Source organism: Homo sapiens, chromosome 8 (genome assembly GCF_000001405.40).
Source record: "Homo sapiens chromosome 8, GRCh38.p14 Primary Assembly".
Taxonomy (NCBI): Eukaryota; Metazoa; Chordata; class Mammalia; order Primates; family Hominidae; genus Homo; species Homo sapiens.
The window spans coordinates 26,491,213-26,513,919 of record NC_000008.11 but is presented as its reverse complement, the minus strand read 5'-3'; the positions used below and the strand labels follow the sequence as shown (position 1 = coordinate 26,513,919).

Below are 22,707 nucleotides of genomic sequence, written 5' to 3'. Positions count from 1 at the left end.
GGAGGGCGGCACCGCCCCTAGCCCCGCGCTCCGGAAGTGAAGCGGCCAGACCACCAGCTAATGGATGCGGAGCGGAGGGCCCGCTGACCGCTCTCCGCGCCTGGGTAAGTATCGGGCAGGGCACGCGGAGTGAGGACCGGAGGACGCAGCCCCCAGCCCCAGTGCCCCTCTCCTCCACCTGCCTGGCCCAGGCGCCTCTGCCCCGCCGCATGGCGGAGGTGGGCCGGGGGCGAGGGCGCACTGTGGATAGGGGTCCCGCCCCGTTACCCTGGGTGTGAGCTGATGGATGGGAAAAGGGGACAAGCCGGGCGCCAGGCTACTCAGGGTGTGGGAAGCGGGATGGCACTGAAGATGAGCAAGGATAGCACAGGCAGGGTGGACAGGAGGGGGGCAGCCAAGACGCTGGACACCCCAGCTTCAGTTTGTCCACTCGCCTTGGCAGGCTGCAGGGAGCAGAGACTGAAACGAGAAGGTTCCCGCTTCGTGCATCCACTTTGGTGTGGTTGGGGTGACGGGGGAGTGGGGGGGGGGCACACAACATGGCGGGAAGAAATTCAGAGGGGCGTAGCAGATGGGAGAGGAATATAGAGAGAGACGCAGGTCTGCGGTCTATGGGGGTGTAGCAAAGAGTGCAGTCGGGAATTCCAGCCCAGGGCCACGACTTAAAGACGGGGTGCAGACCGACTCTATTGCGCAAGGCGCCATGGACCGTGTCTGCGCCACTGCGCCAAGAAGGGCGCAGGAACGTGTCGCGATTTGGTTTATTCTGCTTCCTCCACCAAAAAAAAAAAAAAAAAAAAAAAAAGAGAGAAAAAACAAACTGAAACCCCCTTCCCAAATCTCCAGCTTTCCCCTGCGCCCCAGAGCCCCGCCTGGTTCCCCCGCCCCTGTTGCGCACTGCGCCACAGTCGCAGCGTTTCCCGGGTTACCAGATGCCACGTGTTTGGGGAGTAAGTGCGGGTGCGCATCTGGTGCGGAGTAGGAGGTAGGATGTGGGCTGTGAGTGCCATGAATTGTGTGGGGCCAAGCAGGGGAAAGGTGTGTAGGAACTTGGTGTGTGTGTGCAGTAGCTGAGCCACGGCCACCGGGTTGGTAAGTAACCAGGGGGCAATTAGATTTGTGTGCCTAACACGGTCAATGCTGGTCCTTCATTGCTTATTCCCATCTCCACGTCCTTTCCGCGTATCAGTCCCTGCCTCTGCGCGATGACAGCTCCGCCTCTCTTTCCACAGTGGCAAAATCCTGCAGAAATGGTGCCCCTCCTTTGGTGGCCCGGGAGGGAGTTCTGGGCATGCTCAGTAACCAGGGTGGGTTTGGGCTGAGAGGCCGTTTACCGCAGGGCCACCGCGTAGGGCCGTGTAACCAGGGATCCAGTCCCATTGTCAGCCCAGGATTAAATGCGGTTACCAACCACCCCCACAGTCCAATTGTGAGAGATAGTTTGGTGAATATAGTTACATCTGCTGGACAATCAGTCGCAATTTGAAGATCAGCCCATCTTGATAGGTGGAAAGGCGTCTCCGGATGAGAAACAGACTGGGGAAGAAGAATATAGGAGTGGAGGGGCTGAGAGAACCGGAGGGGGCATTTTGGACTTAGCGGCAGATGTGCTTTGCATTTGAATAAAGCATTTGAAAAAAGCGCTTCCAACTGAATTACATCATTTCCTACTCACAGCCCCACTGTGAGATGCGTGCCTTATCAGCACTGCTTTCCAGGTTAGGAAACAGATTTAGAGAGCTTGGGGCGCATAGCCAAGGTTGGGTATTTAGTTAAATGATCCAGCAATTCCAGTGGGAGTCTTCCACCTCAAAGTCTGGCTTCTTTTCCAGCTTGTCCTGTGACCCCCTTTATGTGAGAAAATACAAGGTTCTTCTATTTCTACCGTATCCAGATATTTCCATCCATGGCCCTATTGTATATCAAGGGTGTTTCTTGCCATGTTTTTATTTGAAGGTAACACTGCAGGTCACACTGGGAGGAAGAGTCATCTGAAGATAGCCTAACTTCAGCATAGCAGTCATTCTGTAGACCATAGAGATGCTTTTTCCTGGGCAGTGTCTTTTTACATTCCCTGTTTCCTCTAAATATCCCAGTGGGGAGGAAGGTTGCCCCCAGCTGGTTTTTTTATTTTTGTTTTTGTTTTCAGACAGAGTCTCACACTGTCACCCAGGCTGGAATGCAATGGTGCAAACGCAACTCACTGTAGCCTTGACCCACTCGGCTCAAGCAGTCCTCCCTCCTCAGCCTCCCAAGTAGTTGGGACTACAGGCGAGTGCCACACGCCCAGCTAATTTTTTTATTTTTCCTTTTTGTAGAGACAGGGTCGCACTATGTTGCTGGTCTCAAACTCCTGGGCTCAAGTGATCCTCCCGCTTTGGCCTCCCAAAGTGCTGGGTTTACAGGTGTAAGCCACTGCACCTGGCCCTCCCCCACAGTCCCCACATTTTAGAAAGGAAAAGTCAGGCATGGAGAAGTCAGCAGTCTCAGGTCTCTGGGGCTCCTGGGCACAGGGGTGAAGCAGCATTTTGCCCTCCTGGCTCTCTGGCACCCCTGGTGCCTTCAGCACTTCCCAGAAGACTCAGGAGATCTTCCCACAGCAGGAGCACTGCTGATAGAGTTACAGGACAGCACTGTGGCGTATGGCCCCCATTCGAATTGATGAAGATGTTTAGGCCAAGGGGGAAATGGTTGTAGCCCCTTAACACACACTCCGCAGCAGTAACTGGGAGGTATTAGGAACTCTAACTTTTTTTTTTTTTTTTTTTGAGACAGAGTCTTGCTCTGTTACTCAGGTTAGAGTGCAGTGGTGCAATCGTGGCTCACTGCAACTTCCGTCTCCCAGGTTTAAGCGATTCTCCTGCCTCAGCCTCCCAAGTAGCTGGGATTACAGGCACGTGCCACCACACCCAGATAATTTTTGTATTTTTGGTAGAGACGGGGTTTGGCCATGTTGGCCAGGCTGGTTTCGAATTCCTGACCTCAGTGATCTACCCGCCTTGGCTTCCCAAAGTGCTGGGATTACAGGCATGAGTCACCACGCCTGGCCAACTCTAACTTTTTTACGTTCTCTAATCCTCACAGGTTCTCCAGAACAAAATCCTTGATAGGTGTGCTTCCTCCTTTTTTCTTTTTTCTCAAATGATGGGTTAAAGTTCAAATGTTAGGAAAGGCTGGGTGTGGTGATTCAAGTGTGTAATTCAGCACTGTGAGAGGCTGTGGCGGGAGGATTGCTTGAGCCCAGGAGTTTGAGACCAGGCTGAACAACGTAAGGAGACTGCGTCTCTACACAAAATTTAAAAAACTAGCCAGGCATGGTGGCATGTGCCTGTGGTCCCAGGTACTCAGGAGGTCGAGGTGGGAGGATTGCTTGAGCCCAGGAGAGATCAAGGCTACTACAGTGAGCCGTGTTTACACCACTGCATTCCAGCCTCGGCAACAGAGTGAGACCCTGTCTCAAAAAACAGAAACAGAAACAAATGCTTGGAGAGTGTTGTGTTAGTAACTTATTGTCTTAGTCTATTTTGTGTTGCTATAAAGGAATACCTGAGGCTGGATAATTTATAAAGAAAAGAGGTTTATTTGGGTCACAGTTCTGCAGGCTGTACAAGAAGTATGGTGCTGACATCTGCATCTGGTGACCCCTCAGGAAGCTTCCAGTCATAGCAGAAAGCAAAGAGGGAGCAGATGCGGCAAGAAAGGGAGCAAGAGTGAGGGGAGGGAGGTGGCAGTCTGTTTTTAACAATCAGATCTCGAGGAAGCTAATAGAACAAGAACCCACTCATTACCCCAAGAATGGCACCAAGCCATTCATAAGGGATCCACTCTCATGACCCAAACACATCCCACCAGGCCCCACCTCCAACACTGGGGATCACATTTCAGCATGAGATTTGGAGGGGACAAACCTTCAAACTATTTCACTTACCATTCATAGCAAAAGCAAAGCCCAAATGTGTGTTTGCAAAGCCTTCCAGACACAACAAAAGAGAATTAATTCATAATTCCCGATTTAACTTAGTCGGCCCTGAGATTTTTTTCCCTGAATTGTTATACCTAGATTAAACTATTTTTAAACGTTTGAGTGATTCCTCATTAGTTTTGTTAATCAAAGAGGTAAAGCAACTTAATATTGAGTAGTATTGTGAAGGATTATCATATTTTTGAATAAGTGCATTAACGGTCTTCCTACTGAATATTAATGAAGCATAAATACCTGTTCTTATTGTTTATGTGTAACAGAGCAGCTTGGCTTGGCTGGAGCTAAGAGCCAGACACACCACTGTGTGGAGGTGGGTGATGTCTTCCTGTGCTAAAAGGTGAATAAATAAGCTCCTCACCTCTCGCGGAACACTCGGGAACACATCAACAGGTATTTAGCCACATCTCCTGATTTCATCTTTCAATGGCAAAGACCTTGAATCCTGTCCTTAACTGGGGCTCAGACATTAATCAACAGGTCTGATGAGCATATGGTGGGGACACCAGATTTCATTGGAGTCCCCAAGAGAAAAAAAAGTCACAGTGAGCAAAGAAGGGGTCTGACAGAGTGGGACAAATGCAAGCGCAGTGTAAAGCAGAACCGCCATCTGCCCCCAGTTCCATTCCAGATTAGAGTATGGATGCTTCCAAGGAAAGAGAGTGCTGTGTAGTAAAACTGAACATTGTTTCACCAGGGGTCCAAGCCGCCCTGCTGGGAGGCTTCTCTTCAAGAGTTCTGGGTCCCAGAGTGGAAGGCATTTTCCCATCAACTGGAGAGAGACGAAACATCAGAGACCAGGAGGCTGTGGAGAAAGCAGCTGTCCCAGGTGCCTCAACTATCAGAGAAGGGTCAGCGTCACGTGGCTGCCAGCATCTTTGAGAAAATCACTGGCAATCGGACTTCAGAGCTGCGGGCACAGGTGTGGTTAGAACTGAGATACGACCTGCCCACCTGGGTCAGGCCTAAAGACAAGAAGTCCTGAGTTCTTGCCACTGAGTAGGCCAGGGTCATTTGTCCAGAAAACTTTGTGACTGTCTTTGAGTGACCTAGTCTGGGACCCATTCATTGGTGGGTTCTAAGGTTAGAAGCTCATCCAGGATATTTTCAATATTAAGTCAGTGCATAGCTGCACCACTAACAAATTGGTGCCTGTAGAGTCAGAGTGGGTCAATTCTTAGGACAATGGCGCTGGCACTGTTAGAGGACTGGTGCAGGATAATGAGTGTGGATGAGCAGAAGTCACTGATGGTTACGGGGATACCGGCGGACTTTGAGGAGGCTGAGATTCAGGAGGTCCTTCAGGAGACTTTAAAGTCTCTGGGCAGGTATAGACTGCTTGGCAAGATATTCCGGAAGCAGGAGAATGCCAATGCTGTCTTACTAGAGCTTCTGGAAGATACTGATGTCTCGGCCATTCCCAGTGAGGTCCAGGGAAAGGGGGGTGTCTGGAAGGTGATCTTTAAGACCCCTAATCAGGACACTGAGTTTCTTGAAAGATTGAACCTGTTTCTAGAAAAAGAGGGGCAGACGGTCTCGGGTATGTTTCGAGCCCTGGGGCAGGAGGGCGTGTCTCCAGCCACAGTGCCCTGCATCTCACCAGAATTACTGGCCCATTTGTTGGGACAGGCAATGGCACATGCGCCTCAGCCCCTGCTACCCATGAGATACCGGAAACTGCGAGTATTCTCAGGGAGTGCTGTCCCAGCCCCAGAGGAAGAGTCCTTTGAGGTCTGGTTGGAACAGGCCACGGAGATAGTCAAAGAGTGGCCAGTAACAGAGGCAGAAAAGAAAAGGTGGCTGGCGGAAAGCCTGCGGGGCCCTGCCCTGGACCTCATGCACATAGTGCAGGCAGACAACCCGTCCATCAGTGTAGAAGAGTGTTTGGAGGCCTTTAAGCAAGTGTTTGGGAGCCTAGAGAGCCGCAGGACAGCCCAGGTGAGGTATCTGAAGACCTATCAGGAGGAAGGAGAGAAGGTCTCAGCCTATGTGTTACGGCTAGAAACCCTGCTCCGGAGAGCGGTGGAGAAACGCGCCATCCCTCGGCGTATTGCGGACCAGGTCCGCCTGGAGCAGGTCATGGCTGGGGCCACTCTTAACCAGATGCTGTGGTGCCGGCTTAGGGAGCTGAAGGATCAGGGCCCGCCCCCCAGCTTCCTTGAGCTAATGAAGGTAATACGGGAAGAAGAGGAGGAAGAGGCCTCCTTTGAGAATGAGAGTATCGAAGAGCCAGAGGAACGAGATGGCTATGGCCGCTGGAATCATGAGGGAGACGACTGAAAACCACCTGGGGGCAGGACCCACAGCCAGTGGGCTAAGACCTTTAAAAAATTTTTTTCTTTAATGTATGGGACTGAAATCAAACCATGAAAGCCAATTATTGACCTTCCTTCCTTCCTTCCTTCCCTCCCTTCCTCCTTCTCTCCTTCTCTCCTCCTCTCTCCTCTCCTCTCCTCTCTTTCCTTCCTTCCTTCCTTTTTTCTTTTTCTCTTTCTTCTTTATTTCTTGGGTCTCACTCTCATCACCCAGGCTAGAGTGCAGTGGCACAAAAATCTCGGCTCACTGCAGCCTTGACTTCCCAGGCTCAGGCTCAGGTGATCCTCACACCTTAGCCTCCCAAGTACCTGGGACTACAGGCACGCACCACCATGCCTAGCTATTCTTTTGTATTTTTGGTAGAGACAGGGTTTTGCTGTGTTGCTCAGGCTGGTCTGGAACCCCTAGGCTCAAATGATGTGCCCAACTCGGCCTCCCAAAGTGCTGGGATTACAGGCATGAACCGCCATGCCTGGCCCTTGATTTTTCTTTTTAAGAAAAAAATATCTAGGAGTTTCTTAGACCCTATGTAGATTATTAATGAACAAAAGATTAAACTCCAAATATTAAATAGTAAGCCTGAAGGAATCTGAAACACTTGTACTTCCAATTTTCTTTAAATAATCCCAAATAGACCAGAATTGGCCCATACCATAGAAGAAAGAATTGGCAGTCAAAAAAAAAAATACCTTTTGTAATGTTTGAAAAATAAAGCTGTTTGACTTGTCAGGTGTTTTCCTTTCTCAAATCAGCAAATTCTCTCTGAGTGCCTGGCTTTGTGAGACACTGTACAAGGAGTTACAAGACTACAGCTATAACCTGCAGTTGAGCAGTTATAAACCTACAAAATGGGCCCTGCCCTCAGAGAGGTTCCAGTCTAGATGAGGAGCTGATCTAGACAGGTAAAAGGCTAACTAACCCTTTGTGTAAATAAGTTCATCACCCCAGTAAAAGTGTCATCACCCAGTGAATAGGACCACCTCTGCCTGCAGATTTTTGTTGTTGTTGTTGTCATTGTTGTTGTTGTTTTAACCTGGGAAGTGTTCTTCCTGCCTTTCTGCTAGGTGTCAGATAGATGGTCCCAGAGCTAGGTGCTGTGTCAGGCCCTGAAGACACAGATGACTCAACCTAAGCTTTACTTTCCAGAGGTCCACAGCCTGAGAGGTGTCCCCAAAGAAAGGGGGACATGAGGGGACTGCATGCTTGAGAGCAGGGTTGTTTAGGGCAGGTTTGGATTTAGTGAGCAGGCTGGTTTGCTTAGAGAAGGCTTTTAGTGGCAACAAAGGATGAAGAGGAGAGAAAAGGAACTCACATTTATTGAGGGCCTACTGTGTGCAAAGTGTTTCATGTATATCTCATTGAATGTATACAGCCACCCTGTTGTGGTATAATTTTGCTCTTTATAAAGAGAAAGACCGAAGCTCAGATGAGTTAAGTGGTCTCCTCAACACCAAAATGCCAAGAAGTGATGGAGCCTAGACAGAAGCCCAGAACTTTCTGACTCACACTAGTCCATCCTCTACCATCACGATGACTTTCAAATTGTGCTCTGCAGTTCTGCAGATTTTCTAGCAGTGCCATCTCCAAAATGTGTTTTAAACTCTTTATTTTTTTAATTATTATTAGTATTATTTTGAGACTGAGTCTTGCTCTATCACCCAGGCTGGAGTGCAGTGGTGCAATCTCAGCTCACTGCAACCTCCGCCTCCCAGGTTCAAGCGATTTCGTGCCTCAGCCTCCCGAGTAGCTGGGATTACAGGCACCCACCACCACGCCCAGCTAATTTTTGTATTTTTAGTAGAAATGGGGTTTCACCATGTTGGCCAGGCTGGTCTCGAACTCCTGACCTCAAGTGATCCACTCACCTCGGCCTCCCAAAGTGCTGGGATTACAGGTGTGAGCCACCATGCCTGGGCTAAACTCTTTAAGTCTCTAGTAAATGCAGCTAGATTCAAATGGGCTGATAACCAAATTTTAACACATCAGCATTCACCACCAGGTTTACTTTTATTTTCAGATTGGCTCATTTTGTGCAGACCTTAGAGCAAAGTTTCCTTTATGGTATCTGTGTACGTATCCAAACTTCTTTTAATTGTTCACAGATTTTAAAAGCGGTAGCACCACATGGTTGTGTAGATCAGACCTGTGTATTTAGATCAGACCTGTGTATCACGTAAGTGTGTGAGTGCAGTGCAGATGAGCACCATTTAGTTATATGTGCTAGGCAAATCTCCAACACAGTTGATGTGTAGTCTTGTGGTAGATTTGTGCATACTGTAAGCAAATTGCTTAGCTTCTCTAGACATCAGTTTCCACATCTGAAAAATAAGAAGATGAGAGTACACGGTTGTTATGAACAAATGACTTAATGCTTTTTAAGCACGTTGCATGACATCTGGAACACAGAAAGCCCTCAATACATTGAAGCTCTTAGGATTTTCACGATGTTCCTGTCTGCTCAATGCATGCTTTCTTTATTGTTCTGACAGTTGTGTGGTAACAAGCTAATATGCTTCCAGTTGACTTCCAGTCTACCCTGGTGTTAGAAACCGTTTCATCTCTTATTGTAAATTTGAGTGCTTGTTGTTTTTTATATTTGTGATGACTCTTCCAGCAGTTGTTGACAATTGTTAGAGGTTTGACTTTTAAATAATTACTTATTTTTTCTGATTGTGGTTCAGTTTAACTGAAGAATATCCTGAGATTGTAAGAAAAGCATTTTTTAAAAGGTATCACTTGTGATCATTTATCTTTCTAAATTCTATTTTTAATACTGTTCCACCAAAGTGATGCAGTGGTTACCATGACACCCTAATTTCATGTGTTTTTGTATTTATGAAAATAGTTTCATTGTCATTTATTGGCGGTATACAAAGTAAAATGTTATAAATGTGAAGTTATAAAATAAATATATGCTAATAAAATCCTGAGTTTTTCTGTTTCCTATATCGTGGTCTCTATAAAGTACTGCTTGAAGAAGGAGCTTTGTTACTGAAAAATTTTGAGAGATAAGTTGAGAAAATCAAGCTAAAGCCAAAAGGTCTTAGAATCCTGTAGGCAAGAAAACCTGAAAGCAAAAAAATGCTTGAACAAGAATACTTGAACTATGTCTCTGGGGACAAGGGAGAGCTCGGTCCACCCATTATCGATTTCTCTTTTAAAATATACAGAAACAACAGATGGAGGTCAGTTGCCTCAGAGACCCCCCAGCTCATTTGCTTAGGAAAGTAACTGTACAGATAAATTCCCAGACTCTATTCTGCCAAGGGTGAATGACCCTGAAGGTCGAATATTGCTTTTCTGGGCTGAAGTCACCCTTTTTCTTCTTCTTCTTCTTCTTTTTTTTGAGACAAGGTGTCACCCAGGCTGGAGTATAGTGGCACAATCTCGGCTCACTGCAAACTCTGCCTACCAGCTTCAAGTGATTCTCATGCCTCAGCTTCCCGAGTAGCTGGGATTACAGGGGTGCACCACCACGTTCCAGCTAAGTTTTTGTATTTTTAGTAGAGACAGGGTTTCACTATGTTGATCAGGTTGGGCTCGAACTCCTGACCTCAGGTAATCCACCTGTCTTGGCCTCCCAAAGTGCTGGGATTACAGGCATGAGCCACCGTGCCCAGCCTGAAGTCACCTTTTATTCTATGGAGGTATATGGGGGGAAATTCCTCTTGCCTTTGGCCTTCTTGAAATTGCTTCTCCTTCTTTTTTCTAAAGTGCAATGGGGGAGTATCTTTCACTGGGCCATACATCCTGCAGACCAGCCCATTAAAGAGGAATGTCCCAAGGGGGCCCAACGCCATCTCCCACTCACCCAAGCAAACTCTCCAAGGGGTGGTCTCATCCTATACTTCATACTTCTCCAGTCCTGACTCTCAAATACAGGCCCCAAGATTCTTGAATCACTGCTGAGGATAACTTTCCACCAGTGCTGTCTGGTGAAGACTGAGGCCATCAGCCTCCTGCCTTTTTAGGCCTTTGGTGTCACCTGCCATGCACCTGCACCCACCATGTCCACTAGGCCACCCCTCCTCTTGGGTTCTGCTGCCCATCCTAAATGCAAGACTTTGCTCAGCAGCTCTCGGCTTTGCTCTCCTTTCCCAGCTATGCCATGCTTCCAACTTACCTTCTGGACATTCCACGGTATCTATACAAACCAGCCTGAACATCAGAGTCCTTACTGAATACCTTGTCACCATCTTCCTGCACTGAACTCTGGTCCTCCTCCCTGTGCAGCCCCTGGAGGGGAAGGGGCTCAGTCTCCCCCAGCTCAGGAGAGGCTGGAAGGTGGTGGTAGCATTCCTCCTAGCTCATTGTCATTGCAAATACATTTGTTCCTTCCTGGCATAAGCTCACCCACTGTGTCCCACCACCTGCTGTGGAGTGTCCCTGACAGGCCTGGATGATGGCAATGACAAAGCAATGACAAAATGAGTCAAGGCAGAGGGGTCCCTTTAGGGCTGAATGTGGCCTGGTGTTACCTAAAGCAACAAAGACTAGGAAGAAAAATACAATGACCGTGAGACATGTCCAAGGAAGTCCTACAAGACTGAAATAGCAAAGAGGGTTGGAAGCTAGCGTTTTGAAGGAGTGGAGCCTGAAATGAAATGCAGAAGCTAGGTAAGAAGATCTGAGACAAGTGTTGTTGAACGTGCTGCAGGCTTGTTTTATGTTAGCCACCAGCTGAATCTTTGAATGGTCTGAAGGCCCAGGATCAGGGCAGACATCTCACTTACCCCCTGTCTGTTAGGGTGGGCCAGGAATTCCTTGAGTTTGCTCAGAGAAGACTTATGCTCATGGAGATGCTCTTGTGGAGAGAAAGATGGTGCCCATAAGTAGGCTTCTCGGAAGCTAGCCTTTCCAGGCTGGGTGTGGTTGGCTTACGCCTGTAGTCTCAGCACTTTGGGAGGCTGAGGCAGGGGGATCGCTTGAGCCAGGAGTTTAAGACCAGCCTTGGTAACATAGCAAGACACTGTCTCTACAAAAAAATTTTAAAGTAAATTAGTCATGCATAGTGGTGCACACCTGTGGTCCCAGCTACTCAGGAGACTGAAGCAGGATGATCACTTGAGCCCAGGAGGTCGAGGCTGCAGTGAGCCATGATCACACCGCTGGACTCCAGCCTGGGTGACAGAGTGAGATCTTGTCTCAAAAAGAAGAAAAGGAAAGAAAGAAAGAGAGAGAGAGGGAGGGAGGGAGGGAGGGAGGAAGAAAAGAAAAAAAGGAAAGGAGAGGAAAGGAGAGGAAAGGGAAGGGAAGGGAGGGGAGGGGAGGGGAAGGGAGGGGAGGGAAGGGAAAGAAAGCCTTCCCATGTACCAGGTCCTGGAGCTGTCCTGGTCCTAACCTGTGTGACACAACTCCTTTGCTGTATCCAAATGCTCCTTGACCTTCCAGATGGGCACTTTCCTAAAAATTACAGCAACTCCAAAAGTGTATGCCAAAATCAATTTTATCATAAGGAAAAAAGGTGTAAGATTTCAGTCTCACTTTCAGGATAGCAGCTGGAGCTGCCCATTAATCGTCTGGACTGCTTTAAGCAGCAGAAGCAGCAGCTGAGGCTTTTTCCCAAAGTGCCCTCCTCCCACTTGAAGGGAAAATTTACCAAAGGGGAAGAGTTACCAGACTGTGCAGGGTGCTGGGGCTGGGCGCCACTGCGGGTAGTCCCACAGCAGGAAGGGGTCCCCATCCCATCCCACCGGATGCTCCCTGCCTGAAAGTCCCATTGAAGGCCTTTCCTGGCTTCTGGGCACAACAGCTTTCCCAATGAACACAATTAACTAAAATAAAAGCTTTCTGGAACTAACAAGCAGTTGTCGCAAAAGTAAACTTTATATTGTAAGTGAGCATAAGCAAGCCAGTGGAAACCAGGCTGGTGAGTACGGGAGACTGGGTTCTGCTGACCAGCGGTGGCATTGCACTGCCTGGCAACATCCCATACAAAGGTGTCAGCCTCTGATCACGTTTGTGGAGCTTTGCGACCCTGCTCGCTATTCCAAGTACTGGTCAGTGGACATTTCTATGTTCAAAATAAAAATCTTCTGTATGAGCCTAAGATAACTGTAAATGTCTAGAGCTAGGTGTGCTGCCATCTTAGGAATAACATCTGTCAATCTAGAATGGACAAGGCCATTTCCAAGTTCAAGGTGATTTATGGGTCTAAAGCTAAGGTAGTAATTCTTAGGATTCACAAGCCCTGTCACTGGTCTGAGTTTGGCCTACAAATGGCAATGTGGGATGAGAAAGAAAGCTGTATGAGTCTCACAGGCTGTACCCAAGACCTTGTATGGGTTTTCATAAATTACTAAAGGGGCTGCTTGGCAGCCCCCTGGAATCTATAGATCATATTTTTCTACTGGGACCTCCAGGTTTATCAGTAGCTGAACCACTTAGGAGCTATTCCTCCTTGACCAGGCTTGCCCACAAGTTCTCTGATGCTTCAGAATTCATGATGGCATGGTCTGAAATGTATACCTCCCGTAACCAGGATATATTTTGGTTCAACTTAAGACCCCATCAAAATTGTAGTGCAGGGGTAAGGCTGGGCACATCTACTTCCACTATTACCAGGGTGGGGATATAGTATTTTCCAGGAATGGGCAGGTTATACCCAAACTGGGCATCTACTTAGGAGGTGATTAGAGCACTCAGACCCAGGGGTAAGATGGTAATTAATATGGATGAAGGAATAAGAAGAGAGGCAGAGGAGATCATACCTAACACCTTCCCCCAACACTCACTGTGGGCATTTCCACCCTACATCAGAAACAAAAGATCAAGCAACAGAAATTAAAACTTAGGGCCTGGCGCGGTGGCTCACACCTGTAATCCCAACACTTTTGGAGGCCAAGGCAGGCAGATCGCTTGAGTCCAGGAGTTCTAGACAAGCCTGGCCAACATGGTGAAACCCTGTCTCTACTTAAAAAATACAAAAATTAGCTGGGCATGGTGGCTCATGCCTATAATCCCAGATACTCAGGAGAATGAGAGAGGTTGAAGCACAAGAATCGCTTGAACCCAGGAGGCAGAAGATGCAGTGAGCCAAGATCATACTGCTGCACTCCAGCCTGGGCAATGGAGTAAGACTCTGTCTCAAAAAAAAAAAAAAGGAAAGAAATTAAAACTTAAATCAGAAGTGGAATAAGACATAAGATGGGAACAGACAACTCGAAGCAGAATAAATGTGAAGAAAATCACATACAAGCATAGCATAGTCAAACTGCTATAAACCAAAGATAAGGAGAAAATTTGCTCAACTTTTATTTGAGGTTCAAGAGAATATGTGCTGGCTTGTTATGTGGGTAAATTATGGTCACAGGAGTTTGGTGCACAGATTATTTTGTCACCCAGGTAATAAGCATAGTACCTGAGAGGTAGTTTTTCAATCCTGTCCCTCCTCCCACCCTCAAGTAGGCCACAGAGTCTGTTGTTCCCTTCTTGTGTACTCAATGTATAGCTCCCACTTATAAGTGAGAACATGCAGTATTTGGTTTTCTGTTCCTGCATTAGTTCGCTTAGTGTTATGGCCTCCAGCTTCATTATTTTTGCTGCAAAGGACATGATCGTGTGTTTTTTTGGCTGCGTAGTCTTCCGCGGTGTATATATATCACATTTTCTTTATCCAGTCTACCAATGATGGGCACTTAGGTTGATTCCATAATTTTGCTATTGTGAATAGTGCTGTAATGAACATACCTGTGCATGTGTCTTTATGGTAGAGTTATTTACATTCTTTGGGGTATATACCCAATAATAGGATTGCTGGGTCTAATGATACTTCTGTTTAAGTTCATTGAGAAATCACCACACTGCTTTCCACAATGGATGAATTATTTTACACTCCCACCAACAGTATATAAGTATTCCCTTTTCTTTGCAACTTTGCCAGCATCTTTTTTTTTTTAATAATAGCCATTCTGACTGGTATTTCTCTACTGATCAGTGATGTTGAGCATTTTTTCATATGCTTGTTGGCTGCATGTATGTCTTCTTTTGAAAAGTGTCTGTTCATGTCCTTTGCCCACTTTTTAACAGGGTTGTTTGTTTTTTGCTTATTAATTTGTTTCAGTTCCTTATAAATTCTGGATATTAGACCTTTGTTGGATGCACAGTTTGCAAAAATTTTCTCTCATTCTGTAGGTTGTCTGTTTACTCTGATGATAGTTTCTTTCACTGTGCAGAAGCTCTTTAGTTTAATTAGGTCCCATTGTCAATTTTTATTTGTGTTACAATTACTTTTGGTATCTTCATCATAAAATCTTTGCCAGGGCCTACATCCAGAATGATATTTCGTAGGCTGTCTTCCAGGGTTTTTATAGTTTTAGGTTTTGCATTTAAGTCTTTAATCTATTTTGAGTTGATTTTTGTATATGGTGTAAGGAAGGGGTCCAGCTTCAGTCTTCTGGATATGGTTAGCCAGTTATCCCAGCACCACTTATTGAATAAGGAGTCTTTTCTCTATTGCTTATTTTTGTTGACTTTGTCAAAGACTGGATGGTTGTAAGTGTGTGAGTTTATTTCTGGGCTCTCTATTGTGTTCCATTGGTCTATGTGTCTTTGTACCAGTACCATGCTGTTTTGGTTACTGTAGCCCTGTAGTATAGTTTAAAATTTGGGAATGTGATGCCTGCAGCTTTGTTCTTTTTGCTTAGGATTGCCTTGGCTATCCAAGCCCTGTTTTGGTTCCAAGTGACTTTTAAAATACTTTTTTCTAATTCTGCGAAGAATGTCATTGGTACTTTGATAGGGATAGCATTGAATCTGTAAATTGATTTGTGCAGTATGGCCATTTTCAGTTTCATTTTCTTTCTAACCATGAGCATGGAATGTTTTTCCATTTGTTTGTGTCATCTCTGAATTCTTTGAGCAGTGCTTTGTAATTCTTGCGGTAGAGATCTTTCACCTCCATGGTTAGCTGTATTCTTAGGTGTTGTATTCTTTTTGTGGAAGAGAAAACCTTAAAAGCAGCCAGAGGAAAATGACATATTACATACTAAGGAATAACAATAGGAATTAGTGCTCACATATCATGAGAAATATGGAGACCAAAAGACCAAAAGGCAATAACATCTTCATACCACTGGATAAGTAGGGATTATTTGTTCAGTCAAGGTTTAGTAAAAATGTGCTTTTAAAATTATCTGAACTTGGAATATGTGAAAGTAGTTGGTAGAGGGAAGTAGGAAGTGAGCTGGGGCAATTGGGGAGAAACTTCTAACTACTGATTGAATTTCTTGACTGGTGATTGAAGTATTTAGGTTTTCTATCTTATTCTATAATCAATTCTAATAACTCAGATTTTCTAATTTTTTCATTTTATCTAAGTTTTCAAATGTATAGGCAAAAATTTGTCAGTGTTCTCTTCAGATGTTTTAAATTGTTAATACTTCTGTAGTTATGGCTCCATTGTCATTCCAAATGTTAATTATTTGCAGTTTTTCTTTTTCTTTTTTTCTGGGTAAATATATCCAGAAGTTGGACATTTTTTTAAAAATTTTATTTATTTATTTATTTATTTTGAGATGGAGTTTCGCTCTTGTTGCCCAGGCTGGAGTGCAATGGCACACTCTTGGCTCACTGCAACCTCCACCTCCCAGGTTTGAGCAATTCTCCTGCCTCAGCCTCCCAAGTAGCTGGGATTACAGGCATGCACCACCACAGCCAGCTAATTTTTGTATTTTTATTACAGACAGAGTTTCTCCATGTTGGTCAGGCTGGTCTCGAACTCCCAACCCCAGGTGATCCACCCACCTCAGCTTCCCAAAGTGCTGGGATTACAGGCTTGAGCCACTGTGCCCGGCCGAAGTTGGCCATTTTATTTATTTATTTTTTCAAACAATCAGCTTTTAGGTTTTTTAATCCTCTGAATCATTATTTCATTAATTCCTATTCTTATTTTTATTTCTTTCCTCTCACCATGTTTAGAATTAACATACCATTTCATTTCTACCTTCTTGAAGATAGTTCCTTGTTTTCTGTTTCATGATTTTTCAATAAATGTATTTAAGCATAGAAATGTATGTATGTCCAAGTACTATGTTTATTACATCCCACAATTTTATATGTAATATTTTAAATATTTTTATTGTGATTTTTTTTCTTTAAACTGTGAGTTAATTTTGGGGGGGAATAAAGTAGTTAAAATAAGTACTTTATTTTATGATATTTCCAAGGAATTGCATTGTGACGAGAACATATTAATTTTCTGAAATGTGTTGATGCTTCATTTGTTGCATAACATGTGACCAATTTTGTAAATGCCCCATGTACTGTTGAGAAATATCTATATTTTCTATATATTGGTTGTAGGATTCCTAATTGTTAATTTATTGTTCAAATCCTGTATATTTTAATTTTTCACTATTTTACCCATCATTTTCTAATTCAGCTATATTAAAATTCCTTCCTGTAATTGTATAATTGTCAATTAATCCCTATAATTCTTGCCGGTTTTTTCTTAACTCAAGGCAGGAGCATCGCTTGAGCCCAGGTGTTCCAGACCAACCTGAGCAAGATGGCAAAACCCCATCTCTCCAAAAATACAAAAATTAACTGGGCATGGTGGTGCGCATCCATAGCGCCAGCTACTTGGGTGGTTAAGGTGAGAGGATTACTTAAAATCCCAGAAGATTGAGGCTGCAAGGAGCCAAGACTGCACCACTGCACTCCAGCATCAGGAACAGAGTGAGACCCTGTCTCAAAAAAAAAAAAAAAGTGAATTTTCTCATTTATGCATATGAGTATATGAGGAATATTGGTATTTAGTTTTCTTTTTTGTAACATCATTGTCTGGTCTTGGAATGAGAGTAATACAGACCCCACAGCATGAGGGCAGGTAGTATCTCCTATTCATTTTTCTGGAAGTGGTTGGTTATTATTTCTTTCTTAAATGTTTCCTAGAATTCAGCAGTTCAGCCTTCTGGGACTGGAGTTCTCTTTATGGGAAAAGTTTTAAGTATAAATTCAATTCCTTTAATACATATAGGGCTACCTTGATTATCAATACCTTCTTGAGTAAGTTTGGGGGTTTCAAGGGTTTTTTCCACTTAATCGAAGTTGCCTAATTTATTGGCACAATTTTTGGTAATTTCCTTTATTGTTCCTTTAATATCTGCAAAATCTGTGGCATCACCTTTCTTGTTCCTCTGTCTCTCCTTGGTAATTTGTTCTCTTCTCTCTTCCTGACCAGTCTAGCAAGAGGCTTATCAATTTTGTCACTCTCCTCAAAAAACATCTTTAATTTCGCTAATTTTTGTTTCCCCTTTTATTAACTTCTCTTCTAATCTTTCTGACTTTTTCTTTCTCTTCTGCTTACCTTGAGTTTTGTTTGCCCTTCTTTTTTCCTTTTCTTGAGGCAGAAAGATCATTGAGGCTTGTCTTCTTTTATAATATAGCTGCTCAGTGCTATAAAATTTCATCTCAGTACTGCTTTAGCTGCATCTCATAAATGTTGATGTGTTGTATTTTGATTTTCATTCATTTCAAAATCTTCCTAGTTTCCCTTCTGATTGTTTTTCTTTGATTCATGGGATATTTAGAAGTGTGCTGTTTCATTTCCAAATATGGGTGTTTCTATATATCTTCTGGTTTGGGTTTACAATTGAATTTCTTTATAATGAAAGAACTTTATGTGATCAAAATAGTTTCAGATTTATTAAGATTAGTTTTATGTCCCACCACATATAAATGTTCCATGTGTTCCTGAAAAGAATGTGAATTCTGCACTTTTTGAGTGAAGTGTTCTATAGGTGTCAATTAAAGTAAGTTAGTTGGTAGTGTTCAAGACATCTCTAGCCTTGCTGAATTTCAATCTACCTTTCTATTAATTTTCAGAGAGTTTAAAAAATATTTTTACTGAAATTGTACATTTATCTATTTCTCTTTACAGTTCTATCAGTTTTTGCTCCACATTTTAAAGCTCTGTTATTAGATTCATGCACATATAAGATTGTCTTGACTAATTGACTACTTGATCATTATAAAATTATTGTCTTTATTTCCGGAATTATTCTTTCCTGTGAAATCCACTTTGATCCAGTTTTCCTTTGATAAGTGCTAACGTAGTATATCTTTCTCCATCCTTTCACTTTTAATCTATTGCATCTTTTTATTTAATGTATGTTACTTACTAGTAGACAGCATATAGTTGGATCTTACCTAATCTAGCACTCTCTACCTTTTAATTAAGGTGTTCAGACATTTAATGTGATGATCACATTTAATGTAATTATTGGTATTGCTATTTGTGTTTATTTGGCCCATCTGTTTTCTGTTTCCCTTTCACTCTTTCTCTGCCTTCCTTTGGGTTTTTAAATGATTCTATTTTAGCTCCTTTGTTGGCTTATTATGTGCAACTATTGGTTGCATTATTTTAATAATTGCTTTATGGTCTATAGCATCCATCTTTAACTTACTACCCTCTACCCTCAAATATTACATTATTTCACATATAACTAAAGTATCTTGCAATAATAATGGGCTTCCATTTTTCCCTCCTAGCCTTTGTGCTATTGTTATCATATGTTTTACTTCTACATATGTTATAAACTCAAAATATGTTGGTTTCTGTGGTTGTTGTTGTTTAAACAATCAGTTATTGGTGCTATAATAGAATACTTTAAATTCAAAATTAAAAAAAATTTAAACGGTCAATTATTGTCCATGCGTGGTGGCTCATGCCTGTAATCCCAGGAGCTAAGATGAGAAGATCCCTTCAGACCAGGAGTTTGAGGCCAGCCTGGACAACGTAGGGAGACCCCATCTCTAAAAATAATTTTGAAAATTAGCTGGGCATAGTGGCATGTGCCTGTAGTTCGGGCTACTTGAGAGGTTGAAGCAGGAGGATCACCTGAGCCTGAGAAGCCAAGGCTGCAATGAACCATGATTGTGCCACTGCACTCCAGCCTGAGTGACAGAGCGAAACCCTGTCTTAAAAACAAACAACAAACAATTTAGTCAATTATTGTTGAAACAATTTAAACAATTTTAAAATCCAACATATTTACTCACGTATTTAGGGCACTTTTCTAGCACCCTTTATTAATTTGGAGATTCATATTTTCACCTAGTATCATTTTCCTTCTGCTTTAAGTCTTTTAAAGACTTTGTTTATTATTTCTTGCAGTGCAATTCTGTTGGATGAGTTCCGTTAGCTATGTCTAAAATTTTATTTCACACTCTTTTTCTGAAAGATATCTGTGCTGGGTAAAAAATTCTTGGTTGACAATTTTTTTCTTTCAGAGCTTTAAAGATGTATGCTCTCCTGTCTTCTAGCTTGCATTGTTTCCAGTGAGAACCCTGCTGTCATTATTTTATTTGTTCTTTCATACATAGTGGGTCTTTTATCTATGGATTCTTTTAAGAGTTTTCTCATTAGCTCTGGTTCTAAGCAATTTTATTACTATGTACCTTGGTGTAGATTCTTCTTATCTCTTATGCTTGGAGTTCATTGTGTGTCTTGGATCTGCAGGTGTATAGTTTTCATCATATTTTGAAAAATTTTGGTCATTATTTCTTTAAATATTTTTTGTTTCCTTTTTCCTTTGGTGACTCCAATGACATGTATATTAGGCTGCATAAAGTTATCCCACAGGTCACTGTTGCTCTATCTTTTTTTTTTATTAATTGTTCTTTATCTTTTTGGTTTATTTCTATTGCTATGTCTGAGGTTCATTAATACTTTATTCTACAACATCTAATTTGTTATTAATCTCATTCAGTGTATGTTTTCATTCTGACCTTATTGTTTTCTACTTCAAGAAATTTCATTAGGGTCTTTTTTTACATCTTTCATGTGCCTACTCGGTTAATCTTTTTTCTAGCTTCTTAAACATATAGCATATAATACATTGCTCTTTCCTCTAGCTTCTTAGACATATGGAATACAGTCATCATAACTGTCTTAATGACCTCTTCTACTAATTCTGCCTTCTGAGTTGCTTTTGGCTCAGTTTCCATTTCTTTTTCTCCTCATTACAGGTGATATTTTTCTACTTCTGTGCATGCCTGGTGATTTTTGCCAGATATTGTGAATTTTGCCTGCTAGATTTTAAAAATCTTATAAATATTCTTGAGTTTTGTTCTTTGATGCAGATAAGTTACTTGATAACAACTTTACGCTTTTGATTTTTGCTCTTAAGCATTGTTAGAGACCACAAATATGAATTTAATCTAGGCCAAATTTTGCCCCAATACTGACTCACAATCTTTGAGTACTCTACCCAATGTCCCATGAATTATGAGGCTTTCCACTCTGGCTGGTGGGAACAGGCACTATTCCTAGACCACTATTCCAAGCTTCCTAAATCTTGGCCAGAACAAATTCATTAATTTATTTAGAAAGATTTATTAAGCACCTTCATGTTAATAGCACTAAGGACTGTTCCCTCTCATCCTTTTAAGTGGTTCTTTTCCCAGCATTATGTATCTTCTTCATACGCTGGAGCCAATCAGGAGTTAGCTGAATACCTGAAGGGACCTTCTGCAGATCTCCAGAATTCTCTCAGTAAAACCTCTCTCATCTCCAGTACTCTGCCTGTGAACCCTAGCCACCTTGTGAACTCTGGCTATCTTGGCCTTTTTTAATTCTCTCCTTAACTCAGGGAGACCTCTGATTTCTACTAGGGTTCCCTCTGTCTGCACTGCAGTCTGGAAATTCTCCCTGGGGAGTAAAGTGGAGCAATCAGAGGGTCAGTTGAATTGTTTCCTGATTCTCAGAGATCACTGGCCTTTGTTGCTTCATATTCAATATCTTTTAAAGTGTTATTTAATTTACTTTTCTAGTTGTTTTAAACCCCCTAAAAATGTAAATTCAATCCTTGTTACTCCATCTTGGCTGAATCCACAAGTCCTCTGTCTTCCATTTTCTTTTTAAAAGATTAAAAAATGAGAACAAATGTCTTTTATATTTACTATTTCTTGCACTCTTCATTTTTTGTGTACATTTGAGTTTCTATCTAGCATCATTTTCCTTCAGTCTAAGGAAACCCTTTAAATAATTTCTGGTAGTTCTAGTCTTCTGGCAATGAATTAGCTTGTTTGTATGAAAAATGTTCTTATTTTATCTCTACTTTTAAAGAATGTTTCTACTGGATATAGAACTCTAGGTTGGCATTTAAAAAAATCAGCATGTTAAATGGCATTCATTTACCTTCTGGCTTGCACTGTTTCTGACAAAAATTCTGTGTTAATTCTAATTTTTGTTCTCTTATATACAGTGTATCTTCATAGTTTCTTTAAAATGTTCTCTTTCTCAGTTTTTTTCAACAATTAGATTATAATGTTATTTGATGTGATTTTTTTAATTGTTGCTGTCTCTAAGAGAATATGTTTAACTCCAAAGGTGAGTGTTCTTTCTGATCTCCTGTATAGACCTATGGGTCTATACACAGTTGCCATCTATATTAAGTTTACTGAATGGCAGAGCAAAACATCCTGAACAGGGATTCAGGAGACCTTGGTTTTGGTCCTGGTTTTGTCTTAGCATGCATGCCTCAGGCAACTCACTTCACTTCCCTGAGATTTTGTCTCATCCTCTGCAAAAGAATGTTAGGAACAAAAGATCAGCAAGCTCTCTTTTAACTTTAAATCTGAAGCTTCCTGAATTTTGGCCAGAATAAATTCATTAATTTATTTAGAAACAGTTATTAAGCACCTTCATCTTAAGCACTGATATGGTTTGGCTGTGTCCTCACCCAAATCTCATCTTGAATTGTAGCTCCCATAAATCCCATGTGTCATGGGAGGGACCCAGTTCTCATGACAGTGAATAAGTCTCACAACATCTGATGGTTTTATCAAGGGGAGTTCCCCTGCACAAGCGCTCTCTTGCCTGCCGCCATGTAAGATATGCCTTTTGCTTTCCACCATGATTGTCAGGCCTCCCCAGCCACATGGAACTGTGAGTCTATTGAACCTCTTTTTCTTTTTACATTACCCAGATTTGGGTATGTCTTTATCAGCAGCATGAAAATGGACTAATACAAGAACCTTCCCAGTGGCTGAAATACAAAGAGACCCAAGATAGCATCCTAAACCTCAGGGAAACCTGTTATTGGATGGCACAAACATTAAAAATACCTGATATTCAACATCCTTTGAAGTGTTATTTGATTTACTTTTCTAGTTGTAAAAGTGGGCTGGTGGAAGAATCAAGGACGCATCCACTGATGCCTCCCACGCCCCACTAAGGGGAATCTCTCAGATCTGTCTTTGCCTTTTTCTGCTGTAGATGGTGGATGGCTGGGCCTCCATCAGTGACTTCCCAGAATGCTGTGAGTATCCAGTGAGAGAACAGATCCCCAGGCACGTCCAGACACAAGGGTATCCCACAGCAAGAGGTGAGGGGAGTGGGTTTGGCCAGCTTGCTTGGTTCACCAAGCCCAACCCTCTCTGAATATGACCACAGAACAGCATCATTT

At 42.9% G+C, this 22,707-nt stretch overlaps 1 protein-coding gene across 2 annotated transcripts, besides 3 other annotated features; it reads left to right on the top strand.

Moving 5' to 3' along the window:
- On the top strand, nt 48-9,219 carry PNMA2 (PNMA family member 2). Of its 2 annotated transcripts, none has more exons than NM_007257.6 (3): nt 48-104; nt 4,243-4,372; nt 4,677-9,219. In NM_007257.6, exon 3 carries the CDS (start codon nt 5,165-5,167, stop codon nt 6,257-6,259), a length of 1,095 nt encoding a protein of 364 aa, NP_009188.1. In that variant the 5' UTR covers nt 48-104; nt 4,243-4,372; nt 4,677-5,164; the 3' UTR covers nt 6,260-9,219. The 2 variants fall into 2 exon arrangements, with proteins under 2 accessions (NP_009188.1, XP_011542667.1); XM_011544365.4 differs by having other exon boundaries at nt 48-1,092.
- Nucleotides 934-1,806: an enhancer, noted in NCBI's record as "H3K4me1 hESC enhancer chr8:26369630-26370502 (GRCh37/hg19 assembly coordinates)". NCBI's record gives its function as "activates a minimal SCP1, AML or CMV promoter by ChIP-STARR-seq in naive H9 embryonic stem cells {active_cell/tissue: H9 hESC(naive)}" and the evidence as "EXISTENCE:reporter gene assay evidence [ECO:0000049][PMID:30033119]".
- Nucleotides 934-1,887: a biological region, named in NCBI's record as "Sharpr-MPRA regulatory region 13991".
- Nucleotides 1,593-1,887: an enhancer, noted in NCBI's record as "tiled region #13991; K562 Activating non-DNase unmatched - State 22:ReprW". NCBI's record gives its function as "activates a minimal TATA promoter and a strong SV40 promoter by Sharpr-MPRA in K562 cells {active_cell/tissue: K562}" and the evidence as "EXISTENCE:reporter gene assay evidence [ECO:0000049][PMID:27701403]".
- Nucleotides 9,220-22,707: the final 13,488 nt, after the last annotated feature.